The 13330-nt window shown below is 46.5% G+C and overlaps 1 protein-coding gene across 25 annotated transcripts in view; it reads left to right on the top strand.

Moving 5' to 3' along the window:
* Positions 1–13330, top strand: part of CAMTA1 (calmodulin binding transcription activator 1) — a 984253-nt gene that overhangs the window by 463389 nt on the left and 507534 nt on the right. For all 25 annotated transcript variants that reach the window (XM_011541084.3, XM_011541083.3, NM_015215.4 and 22 more), the window contains one exon: positions 649–784. In XM_011541084.3, the coding sequence (XP_011539386.1) occupies positions 649–784 (136 nt within the window). The remainder of the gene's footprint in view (positions 1–648; positions 785–13330) is intronic.

The following is a 13330-nucleotide window of genomic DNA, read 5'->3' on the forward strand; positions in this document are numbered from 1 at the left end:
AGATGACTTTACCTGGCAGTATCTGAGACCCCTGACAGCTGAAGCCTAAATGGGAAAGAATCGGGTACTTAGCTTGCTTGAGAAGCAAGACCGCAGATGCTCTTTCATATCTAGCAGTAATCTAAATGCAGGCAATGAACCAACAGCATTTGGCCTCGGTGAACAGCTCTGCCATCGGTCTGTTCTTAACATAGTCATCTAGCGTCTGCGTTAAACTTATTTATTTCCTAATGCTGGGTGATGGATTAAAAGATGTGTAGAAAATCCTTCCACAAGAGATAAGATATTGCAGGCTGCCACGACACCCCTGGCTCTTTTTGCTTTCTGTCTCTGTTTTGCCTACTTTTCAGTGCAGAGCTCAGGCCCCCACATCGTATATCCTGATTACTTTGTGGTTATTACTGAGGGGATGTTTTTTAAGCCTATCATTGACACATTTAATTCATTAGGTACCAAATCCAAAGCAAATTTTGGCTGGCCATAAAACATGGTTAATCCAGGGAGATGCAATAAAAGGTGAAAAATTATGTTCCAGCAAATGTGGAATATTGCTTTTCTGTAGAGACTTTTACTGGTCGATGATATCTTTCTTCATAAATTTTTCTTCTACTTGGTACTCTTGGTAACTTAACCATTTGTTGTTTCCAGACCACAGAATGGCTCAATGATACTCTACAACAGGAAGAAAGTGAAATACAGGAAAGATGGGTATTGCTGGAAAAAGAGGAAAGATGGGAAAACGACCAGAGAGGACCACATGAAACTCAAGGTCCAGGGAGTGGAGGTAAACAGCAGAAAAGGTTCCCTTGGTGCACAAATGTCATTTGCAGGCTGCAGTGGAGAATGGAATTGCTTGGAGTAATTTGATGCGAGTCACCTCTGTCCAAAGAATTTTTGTTTGCCAAGACCCTGGTTTTTGCTTTTGTTTCGTTTTTCTACCTTCTTACCCTATAGTCTCCATTCAAGTTTTCAGTGAAACTGGATTGAACTAAAGCACTCCTGTTTCTTGGGAGTCATTGCTATATAGATGGGGATTTGCAAGTTTCCTGTGGACTCATTTGTTGTATTTATCACGGAAGAGCCTCTGGATGCATTGAGAGTTTGCAAAGTGTCAGGGAAGAGGGGAGGCAGCGTAAGGAACTTCCCTCTTGAGGTGACCCTGGCCTCCCCCTGCCAAGCTGGCAGGCCCCTCACAGAGCCTGGCTTCACCCCCTCCACCGACAAACCCTGGGTGTGTCAGCCTTAATAGAGGTTTGAGATCATTAGATGGGATCACAGGTGTGCATGATTCTTGCATGGTTGGGGTCCTGCAGAAACATCTTGGGATCTTGGGCCGACTTCGGGTTTTGGCCCTTGGGTAAAGACTGGTTTCCTTGCTGTTGTTTTCACCCCACAGACTCTCAACCTTGGGCAGCCATGGAGAAATTCCCTTATTCCTCTTTGCCATCGTTTGAGGGCCTGAGCCATGTGTCACAGCCGTAGAGGGGGAGGGCATGAGTCAAGGTGAAGTCTTGGCCTGCTGGTTAACTAGCATCCACTTCCCTGCGTTCCTAACTGGTCCTGGGAAGGAACTTCCCCTGGGAACAGGGAAGGCATTGCCTTGGGCCCGGAGCTGAGAAGCTGGCTCGTGATCCACCTGTTATTTCGAACGGGTCAAAGAGAGGCATTCTGGAGTCTGTTGGTGTGTTGAGTTTGCGAGCATACAGGATGGATAGCTGGGACCATAAACCCACTTGAATTCAATGTGTTACCCTTCCACGCCAATGTTTTTTGTGACATGCTTTGTCATGATGACTTTTTCCGTATAAATCATGTGCTTTTATGGCTGTTAAAAATAGCACCAAATGGCCTGTATTATATGACCTCACAGAGGGATGACTTTTGTTTTATGTTTTTTTTAAATACCTAATAACAATGCTTTATGGAGATGCAAAAAGAAAAGCCTCTATCCAAGAAATTCCAGTTCCTGCATTCTCCTGTGCTCAGTGTTTGCACAGTGTGGTTTAATTGACTGCACAGAACATTAAAATGCAGATTCCCCCAAACACACTGCTCTGGGCGCACCTCTAGGACGGTGACCGCTGATCGTACAAAGGCATTAGCCATCATCGCAGGGAGCCAAAGGAGGGAGGGCTTGGTTCTTCCTGGGAGGACCCTCATCTCCTACGCTGGAGGGAGAGGTAGAGAGTGAGGCAAGGCTGGGTGGGGCCCCCGAACAACGAGGCTGCTCGCACCGGGAGTAATAGGGCTGCGGGAATTCAAACTGGAAGTCACGGCAGCTCCTGTGCCCGTAGGCCCCTGGTATATTTCATCTTTAGTAATACGTACATCAGGAACTTCTGCTCGTGAGTAACAGCCGGGTGGAATTCTTCCTCAGCAGCAGCTGAGAAGCCGAGGGGAGAAAACAACCCACAGTGTTCGTTTTCTTTCCTCATGTTATAAATTAGAGTTGTCACTGGATGGAATCAGAATGATTTATGGCTATTTGTTAGGCCATATTTGTGTTTGGAGTTATTTGTGTGCTCATACTTGCAGGCAACAGTCTGTCCCCTCAGAACTTCGGGAAAGGGAGACGGGCAGGATGGGGAGGGGTTTCCATGACCTCCTAACATGGATGGCAGTGTGGGCAGCGGGAAGAGCCGGTGACACGATGCTTGCTTTGGGTTCTCAGAGAGAGGCCACCTACTATGATGCATTATGTGGTGGCCTTGCCCGTGAGCTCAGCGAGTTGTCCCACTGAGCCACTCAGCAGATATCGACCCTGTGTGCCTACTCTGTGCAAGGCACTATGGTGTCAGCAGAGAGAACAGGAGTCATATTCTCTGCCCCACGGACTCATGGTCAAGTTGAAGAGGCTTGAAGTACGTGAGGGTCATCAATAGTGCTGAGACGCAGAGCAGCCTGGGCTTTTATGATAAGCATCCCGGGAGTGCAGAGTGGGCTGGAATGGTCAGAGACACTTCCTAGGTCAGATGGGATACAAGCTGAGCCCTTAAAGTCGGGTGGGACTCTGTGTGTGTGTATATATGTTTGTGTGTGTGTGTGTGCGTATGTGCAATTTACATATTGTTTGCAGTTTACCTTTTCCACTCTGCATTGTGGTCTGAGCTGTGTCTATGTTGATATTGAGGTCTCTTCATCCCTTTTCACAATCCTATAGCATTCTACTATATAAACACTTGAGCCGTTTCCCTGGCCATAGCCCCCACTTTAGATTCCTTTCAGTTTTTTAGCATTATAAATAACACTTCAATAAGTGTTCTTATACACGTCTTTTTGGGCACATAGGCAACCTGGACCCAGAATTGCTGGGTTATAAGGTCTGAGCATGTTCAGTTTATTAGACACTGCCTTATGGCTGCATAATTACATGCCCACCAGAACTGGCGATTACAGTTTTCCCCACATCCTCTCGCTTAGTGATAGATGAGAGATGGTACCCCCTTTTATTTGAATTTGAGTTTGTCTTAATTATTAGTGAGGATGAGTGCCTTCTTATGTTAATGGGAGCCTGTTGCTATGAATGGTCTACCATGGGCATGGACATGGATTTTTAAACAGCCCTGAAGAAGGCCTTTTCAGACAAGATCAACCCCCACATCTCACCAGCATTTCTGCTGCATTACCTCTGATCTGGACCAAGGGTGGGGAAGCCCAGGGGGTGTGCTCTGGCACAGTGGGTGGTTGGTCCTTTCCACCAGGAAATTGCAACAGGGATTTCCATGGGGCTTTGTACCTCACAGGAGGAGGGGGCTTCTGAGTTTGGACTCTGCGTCCGTCTTTGGTGGATTCAATCAGGTGGTTCCCATAGACTCAGCATCTTCATCACGTCAGGCACGGCGCCAGCCAGCTACTCTTCTGCTGGTTGGGGTGGACAGTCCTGCACAGGGTCTTGGAGCTGTGATTTTTCTACCACCGGGGCTGTTTTCCTCAGTTCAGGGGCATGATAAAGATATTTGGATCTACCGTTTAATATATCACTTGCTATAAGCCTTCCCTCAGGCCAGGAAAACTTCCAGCCCTGTTTATGGAACTGTTCAGCCATCTCGCTTCTTTTGTTCTCAGAGGCTGGGGCCCTCTCTACACACGGCAATTCAAAGGCACATTGATTTTCTCAGCCAGGCACAGGATGGGGGCAGCTGCTTTTGAAGCTGACGAGCTGTTAGGTCCATGATTAGTTGTCTTGTCTGCAAGCCAAGGAGAAGCTAGCTCGATAAGGTTTCCAGGGATGACAAAGGTTGGCAGGAAGGAAAAAGAGGGTGGTTGCGATGTCACTGTTTCAGGAGATGAAATCTCAGCAGGTCTGGAGTTGGCCCTGCACCCCATACAGATTTATGCCAGCTTCTTTGGTGCCTGACAGTGTGGAGGAGCTTTGGGAGTGGGAGACTCTCAGAGAGCGAAGAGCTGGATGTGAAGCATCACCCTGGTTCCGGGGTCACTGCAGCTTTGTGGTCGGATGAGCTGAGGGAGGTTAGTCAGAGGTGATGCTGTTCTCTGGGCCACACTGGAAGAATTCCTTCCAAGTTCATGATACTTTTCTCTGGCCCCAGAAGCTTGTGGGGCTGCCTTAGGTCCTGTGTCCGCATCTCTCTGCTGAGAGTGCTGGGTGTCCCAGAACCCAAGGCAGCTCTGGGCTCTTGTCCTCTCCAGTTTCTTTGCTGCTGGGTTCCCACAACAGATGGGAGCCACACAATTACTACTGAGACAGTCATGGGCTTACACATTTCCTATATACCAGGTATATCATCTCATTGAATCCTCATAAACACATCCATGCAAAGTACATGGTATTATACCCATTTTATAGATGGAGAGATTGAACCTCAGAGAGGGTGTCTCTTGCCCTACGTCATACCTCAGTCAGTGGCAGAGCTGGTACTTGAGCCTGGGTCTGCTTGGTTCTAAAGCTCAAGCTCTTGCCATTATATCAGTTCCTTCGGGGTACTCGGGTGGGGCCTGTAGACTTTTCAGATGAAGTCAGCACCTATTTATTTAGCACACATCCTTCCTTCATCCACTGGGGATTGGAGGCTTTCTATCCACCTAGTATGGCAATAGGTGCTGGGATGCAGTGATGTAAAGAGAACGTGTGGTCCCCTATCTCATGGGGAGACTAAAAAAATCAATCATGCAACCCTGATGCAGGGTTTTGAGGGCTGTGATAGAATTACAAGGCCCTGTGTGGGGGATGCAGGAGGGGAACCTGAGGCCGACTTGGCCTGAAGGAAGTGACATGAGCATAAGGAAGTGGGGTGCGGTGGGAGCGGGTCAAGTGACAGAGGAGGGCTGGGAAATATTAATGAATAGAGTCTGTTGAGAATCAGCCAATGTGACTTGAAGCAACAGGCAACCAGAATCGTGATGGGTCAGTATTTCCCCCAGGCCTATCCAGACCAGGTCTTATCCTCCTAGCAACGCGGCCCTCTCGGCTCTTAAGGCGTGACTTGCCATGGATGTTCTGCCTTTGGAACCAGTGGGTGGTCACAGCACAGAGGCTGTTGGTTTCATGGCTGTCACATGCACAGAGACAGCCCTGTCCACTGAGCCTGTTCTGTGGCAGAAGGAACCCCCTAGCCTGGACCATCTTTGGGTGGAAACACCAGCCCCTCACGTCTGACTGTCATTTTCAGATGTGAAGAGAACACACAGTGTTGCTGATGTGTTTGTATTGCCTGTAAACAACGAAGAGTTTCTTTGACTTCTTAACTGCCTTAAAGCTAGAAGCCCGGCATTAGGATGGCAGTGGTGGTAATGAGGTTATGTTTTGAGACTTGGCCTCATTAGAAGTGATGTTCTTTATTTGGGCACTTAGGCCACATATAAAAAAAAAAGAAAGCACCTCTTTTAAAATAGGAATGATATTGTAGTTACTGCATTAGGAATTAACAGGGCATGAAATAACTGTCTGCCCTGTGGCAATGCCAGATCATTTCAGCTCCGCTTGCAGCCATAAGATAAATTGGTATCTTGCTTGCAGCCACTGGAAAACATTTTAAATAGCCAGCCATGAACATGTATGGTGCCCAAATCAAGTTTGAAAAACAGCAATAAATAGATAAAGTGGAGGTAAGGTGCCTAATGAAATGAATGAGGGGCAGGAGCTCACAGAAGGCAAACAAACCAGCAGGGAGGCGCTGCGTGTTTCACATACAATACGTATTTCTACTTTTAGTAAAAAATCATGTGTCTCACGAACAGAAAACCCAACACCGCATGTTCTCACTCATAAGTGGGAGATGAACACTGAGAAGACATGGGCACAGGGAGGGGAACATCACATACCTGGGCCTGTCAGGGAGTCGGGGGCTAGGAGAGGGAGAGCATTAGGAGAAATACCTAATGTAGATGACAGGTTGATGGGTGCAGCGAACCACTGTGGCGCGTGTATACCTATGTAACAAAACTGCATGTTCTGCACATGTACGCCAGAGCTTAAAGTACAATTAAAATAAAAAAATAAAAAATTATAATAATAAGAAAATTAAATTAAAAGAAAAACATGTGTCTTCGGTCTGTGGACAGATTATTTTACTCCATTACCCTCCAGCCTCACTGTGCACCCACCAGTCCATACCCTACCGTATTCCTCATTCAGAAGCTGTTTTTTTCCCACGTCTAGGTCCACATTGTCTTAGCCTCATAACTTCTGATTCTCCCCCGCCCCGCCCCAAGGCTATCTCCCCTGATCTTCTTTAGCCAGAAGTGATGATTTCCTCCCCTACATTGCCGTTGCTTTCCATCTGTACCCTTCTTAAGGAAGTGTTCAGGTTGCCTTCCTATCAGCCTTGTCCAGTTCAAAAAAGATACATCGAGTATTTATTTTCTCCCTGCTAGAAATCCTGTATCTGGTATCCAAATCTAAGTAACAAGGAGTCTCCACAGAGTGTCTACAGAATCTACCCCACACGACCTTGCTCTGGGAAGTAGATTTGCCCAGTGACTAACTGCTTCCACAGTTACACTTCCTGCAAACCTCACCCCAACCCTGTGATTCAGTCCTGGCAGATACGTTTATCCTCGTTGGTTGTGCATCTGGGACTTGAACCTAGGTCTTTGGTTTCAGAAGTGGGGCTGCCCCTCCTGTCTGGCTTCAAGCCCTGCTGGTTGAGGTGTCTTAGTCTCATGACCGTTTCTAGTACAGGGAGCGTCTGTTCAGGGGCACCTCAGGGAATCTCCCGGGGCTCTCTGCTGGCTTTTCATCATCTGAATTTTTGTGCCTCGTTCTGCTGGTATACTAACAAGTTAAAACTTAATTTCCTGTTACCTGGATGTGTTTTGGTAGAATCAATTCAGGAGCTCAAATCCATAGTTCTTCCTTAATTTCTAATTACTTGGCATCCCTGGTGACATGTTTCTACCCAATTCATATAATTAAAAATTTAACTAATAAATAACATTAAGCTAGCTCCATTTTGAAGTAGCAAGAGCAGCCCTAGGCCGGGCACGGTGGCTCATGCCTGTAATCCCAGCACTTTGGGAGGCCGAGGCAGGCGGATCATGAGGTCAGGAGATCGAGACCAACCTGGCTAACATGGTGAAACCCCGTCTCTACTAAAAATACAAAAACATTAGCCGGGCATGGTGGCGGGCACCTATAGTCCCAGCTACTCGGGAGGCTGAGGCAGGAGAATGGCGTGAACCCGGGAGGCGCAGCTTGCAGTGAGCTGAGATCGCGCCACTGCACTCCAGCCTGGGCGACAGCGAGACTCCGTCTCAAAAACAAAAACAAAAGCAAAAACAAAGCAAGAGCAGCCCTTTCTGTTTGCATCTGCTGAGTTCACAAAGGCCTGGCAGGGTGCTGGTTTTGCTTCTCCTTCTGTCTTAGCCACATCTAGTTGCTATCACAAAAGATCATAGACTGGGTGGCTTAAACAACTGAAATTTATTCCTCACGGTTCTAGAGGCTGGGAAGTTTAGGATCAAGGTGCAGGCGGATTTGGTGTCTGGTGAGGGCCTGTTTCCTGGTGCATTTTGGTGTCTGGCGAGGGCCTGTTTCCTGGGCATTTTGGTGTCTGGCGAGGGCCTGTTTCCTGGTGCATTTTGGTGTCTGGCAAGGGCCTGTTTCCTGGTGCATAGATGGCCATCTTCTCACTGCATCCTTACATGGTGGGAGGGCAGGAGGAGCTCTCTGGGGTTCCTTTTATCAGGGCACAAACAAACCCCATTCAGAAAGCCTTCACTCTCACGATCTGATCACCTCCCCAAAGCCCCACTTCCACATACCATCGCATGGCGGGGGCGGGGGTTGGTTTTCATCATATACATGTTGGGGGAACACAGATTTTCAGTCTTCTTAAGGCTCTCTCTTCCCTAACTACAGCCAAATGACAAGAGCAGCAGTAATCACAGCATCCTTTTTTGAACTTTTACTGACTATCCAGTCCTGTGCGCATCATCTTATCTGCATCATCTCATTCAGTTACTTGGTAACATCCCTATCAGGTAGATACTATTGTCATCCTCATTTCATCCACGGTCTGCAAGACAAAGACACAGCAGGTCCCTCGCTGTCCACTTCAGTGGTTGGGAGTTGGTCCCCAAACACACTGCATAACTGGCTGTCACTCCTCAGTTGCAATTTGATCCAAGAGCTGTTGAGTCCTATACATTCACACGAGAGCTTTCACTTAGGAATAACAAGTTGTTTATCTCCTCCCAGCATGAACTGCCCATTTCCATTTGTCCTGAAGCCGTAGCTTCCGAGCTTCCACGGCACACCCACTCTGGCAGCGAGGGTCTGTGCGTACTCTTGCTACGCAGGCCAGATTGTATGTTGCCAGATTTAGTATGTACATGCACAGACATGTGTGCATACACACACAAGGGAGAATATTGATGCCCAGTTAAATGTGAATTTCAGATAAACAACAGTTTTTTTTTAGTACAAGTATGTCTATATTAAAATATTGTCCGTTGCTTTTGTGGAACTCACAGTTTGCTGGGCATCATGTATTTTATCTGACAACCCTCCAAGCATCAGAGCTGTTCCTTTGAACCTTTGCAGACAGAGGTTTGTCTGTTTTGGATATTGGTCCCATTGAAGACATGAGGAAGTGAGTTGGTTTATCTCCAGACACATCATTGATGTGGGGACCATAAAAGGCAGGAAGGACACTGGCCATTGCTGAGGAGAAGACACGCTAGCAGGTTGCTAGCAAAGCCAAATGCTGCCAGGGCTGGGGACTTTCGTGCTCCCTCTGAAAAGTGAGTCCTGGATGTTTCTCAAATACCAAAACGTGAGGACTTCCAGATACCCAGATCTGGTGCCGTTAGATGCTGCAACCTGGAGAAATTCAAGCCTTCTTCTGCCACTGGTGTTGGGGGAGAAGCTTGTTAGTAAAAGATGTGCCAGGAATATGTAGCAGGAAGTGTGATTGTAGTTTCTGCCTTCCTTGTATCTCTGGTAGATGACAATACATACAATATTTTGTAATTTCCTTTTTAAAACTTGATATGAGCCTTATTAAGCTAGAAACTCCCTGATGAAGGTAGAGCAGCAGCATATCAACTTGGTGTGCTGAACTTGTACTTAATTATTATCATAATAGTCCCTCAACATCACTGCACGTTAGCCCATAAGGACAGGAATGGAAATTTTAGCATATTCAGTTACAATGTAAACCCTTGAATACCACTGTCGAAATTCACCAAGGGCCATTCTCTGTTTGGTCCCCAACACACAGCAGGGACTGAGTGAGGTATTACCCAGGTCACACAACCTGGATGTTTGCAAGCATAATTTACAGCCTCACCCAGAAACCGGGCAGGCATTGGAAGACCATAATAGATACTTTTCCCCTTGGTAAGTGACCAGACATGGTTATTTGCCTTGGGTGAAGAGTAGCTCTGGCCATCACTTGACTGAATCATCAAATATTGATCCTCTCTGCATCTTTCATTGCTGGGGAACGTTGCTGGGGAAGTTTCCTCCCGTCATTGGCGGCTGTGGCTTATGTCCGTGTGAATTTATGCTCAGTCAGCACGAATCTCCAGGCTTGTCCTCGGATAGTCGCGGCCATTCACTTTAGTTGGCGTGGATTAGGCACCAGCAGAGGGCAGGGATATGGCTTACGGGCTAAGTAGGCTCATACCACTCTGCTTCCCACACGCCGGGGCAAAAATCATGAGGAAAACAGGGTGTAAATGAAGGGCTCTTTTGCCACCAGTAGGAGCTGGGGAGAAAAATTTTACCAAACGAGTTAAAGAAGGAACGAGCTCCTCACGCAGCAGCTCTGGTGAGGCTGCTTTGATGGCCGCTGGCTCCGGCCCCTTGTTTCCTTCTGTGCGGGTGTGTGGGTTTCTGGCTGCTGAGCTTCCCTGTGGATGCCCTCCCTCACTGCAAGGCCGGAGTGGAAGAGGGAAAGCAGGTGATTTCATGAAAGAGCGCCTTTCTGCTTCATGAGGTTTTTCTCCTGGACAGATGAAATAACCTTCCACGTCCTCCTTGCACTTCGTAATTCAACAGCTTGTAACTCGCGCAAAACCTGAGACCGGCGCAAATACTGAAGCGGTCAGTATTGCTTCTTGCTACCCTCAGTGTGGTCCAAAGATTGGTATGTTCAGCATCACCCAGGGGGTATTAGAAGTGCAGAATTTCAGGCCCCAACCCAGATCTACAGAATCCAAGTCTGCGTCTTAGTATGAGCCCCAGGTGGTTCACACACACTTTAATTTGGAAAGGATTGGGACACGCCATTCTGTTGTTGCCAGTAGGGTCCTGCCTCAGTGCCTTGCCCCCAGGCAAGTGGTTATTTATTTATTTATTTTACCTTGTCTTAAGAGAAAAGTCCAAGGGAAAATTTCACAAGTTGCTCTGGCAATTTATGACTTGACTTCAAGCACCTTTAGAAAATATCGAATTGAAATCTCCAATGATATGGCTGGAGCTTATCATTCTTTATTCTGCCCTTGGCAATGAGCGATAGAGAATAGCAGGTTTCTGAAATCAGAACACACTGAGTGGCGATGACTAAACAGTTCCCTCAGCCTTTGTTCTCTGGGTGAAATGGTCCTGTTCTTCCATCCTTTAGCTCCTCTGAACGGGGAACTTGCCTGTCTGTTCACTGCTATAGCCCAGTGCTTGGCATGGCACCTAGTATTGAGTACCTTTGGTGCCAAATAACTACATTTTTCAAAAGAATGAAAGATTTTGAATGAATGGACCTTTAAAACAAAGGGCCAGACAGTAAATCTTTTCAGTTTTGCGAGCCAGACTGTCCGTCCCAACAATTCAATTCTGCCATTGTAGCATGAAAGCAGCCATAGGCAATAGTCAAGGAATGGGCGTGGCTGTGTTCCAATAAAACTTTATTTACAAAAACAGACTGTGGGCTGGATTTGGACCATGGATGTAGTTGGTCCACTCCTGTTTTAGATTATGGCCACGGTTTCTAGAAGGAGTGGGGTGCTCTGTGTATGTCCTGCTACTCATGTTTACAGCCGCCTGATGCTATTCATACTCAGCTTATATTTCTGCAATGAATGTATACTTTTATTTACAACATACCTGGTGAGGTTAGGGTTTCTTCTTTAATGCATGTAGCATAGGCTTGTTTGTTTCTTCTTGAATTGTCCTCAGCCTGAAAACATTAGGCAATGTCTCTTGCAAAGGAGAGTTTGAATGTGGGAATTGAGAAATGTCCTGTTTCTCTTAAAAGCTCAGGGCACTGCTTCATGGCATTGTAGAGAGGGCAGGGCTAGTCCCAGTGATACACTCTGTGTTCTCCTGTCTAGTGGGGATGGCTGAGCCAATGGCATGTGTCCTTGTTGAGACCAGGTGGGTTAAAGGATTGGGGTGTCACAGAAGATAGGCTGAAACTGCCTGCATCTTTAGGCGTGCAGTGCTTTGAATGAAGCCTGTATGTTGCTGGATGCAACAGAGTCCCCCTAGAATAGTGACCGATGGGAGGGCACAGATGCTATTTGTCCATGTTTAAGTATTTACATGACAGCACGAGAAAACTGGAGAGGCTCTCTTTCATCTTTGCTGCCACAATTTACCTACAGTTTATGATGGATGCGAGAGGTAGACATTTATCACAAAAGTGTAAGAAATGTTGACTCTTCATGAATTGATTACTTAGAATGTATTTTATTAAAGATTCTAGGTGGCATGTGATAAACTGAACCTCTGCTGGTTTGCAGCTTAATGATTCATGCATCTGTGGTGGTGATAAGGAAATCAAAGATTCGGTTTGCCTTTTCAGAGAAAGAATATGGATTATTATTAAATCTGGAATGGGCCTCTTGAGAATCCTTCCTTAGGGAGCGTACATATCAATACTTTCTTCTCGATGTGAGAATTCTAATGCTTCACTTATGGAAACATAAATTCCACAGCAAGTGGCTGCGGGTTCCTTCCTTCCCTCTGGTTCCTTACATCCTTTGTGCGTCGAGGATGCGTTTTTATTCCTTAGTTAGTACCTGGCATTCATCGTTCTTTAGTCTCCATGGTTTTGTGTTTCTATTGATAACTTTTAATGCTAAGAGCTCTGTTGAGGTCTATGTTTTGCAGCAGCTGAGATGCTGGTAGAGACCAGGATGGTGTATTTGCCTGTCATCCCATTGGCTTGAAATTTCCTAACAGATTGGGTTAAGTCTTGGAAAAGACTAAGAGTAACTATTAGATCTCAGATTTCCAACGGAAGTGAGGTCAGCTCACATGGGATGTAGAATGTTACCCTGAACCAATTCATGCAGAAGCCAACAAGGCCGCCAAGCACATCTAGTGAGTTGCATCTGGACCAAGGACAGCAGATCAGAATGCCCCGTTTCACTAGGCTTTGCGGATGGTGGAGGTGGAGGCATTCCTGTTCTCAAATAACAGAGTCAGGGAGGGCTTTGCTGAAGGCATCCGGCATGTGGCGCCCCAGCCATCACCTCAGGACAGAGGATGCAGGCGGAGCTCCCAGGTAACATTCAATGATGAATAACAAGCCCACAGGCTTACAGTGACATTAACGAGGTGTTGGCGTTGTCTGATAGCTTGAGTTTCAAAATACTGTGTGACTTCTTTTTCTTTCAAAAATATCAGACAGAGGTTAAATACTGTAATCTTTTCCATAGGAGACTGTGGGAAAATAAATTGGGAAACCCCAAGACTCCTTGTTTTCCCCCAGATTCCTTACCCGTCTACATGCTGTGCAGCAGAAGCAACGCTTAATCCTTTTATATGATGTGGTGCCCTCACACTGGTATTTTACTTAAACCCTTCATTTTGTTGGATGCTTTTATACATGGAATTAGACCTAATTGTCAACATAATGCCATATTAAGTTTAGTTTCCCAAAAGAGTAAACACTGAACTGCTCGGCAATTATTTCTTACACAC

The sequence above is a fragment of the Homo sapiens genome, chromosome 1, assembly GCF_000001405.40.
Source record: "Homo sapiens chromosome 1, GRCh38.p14 Primary Assembly".
NCBI classification, from domain to species: Eukaryota; Metazoa; Chordata; class Mammalia; order Primates; family Hominidae; genus Homo; species Homo sapiens.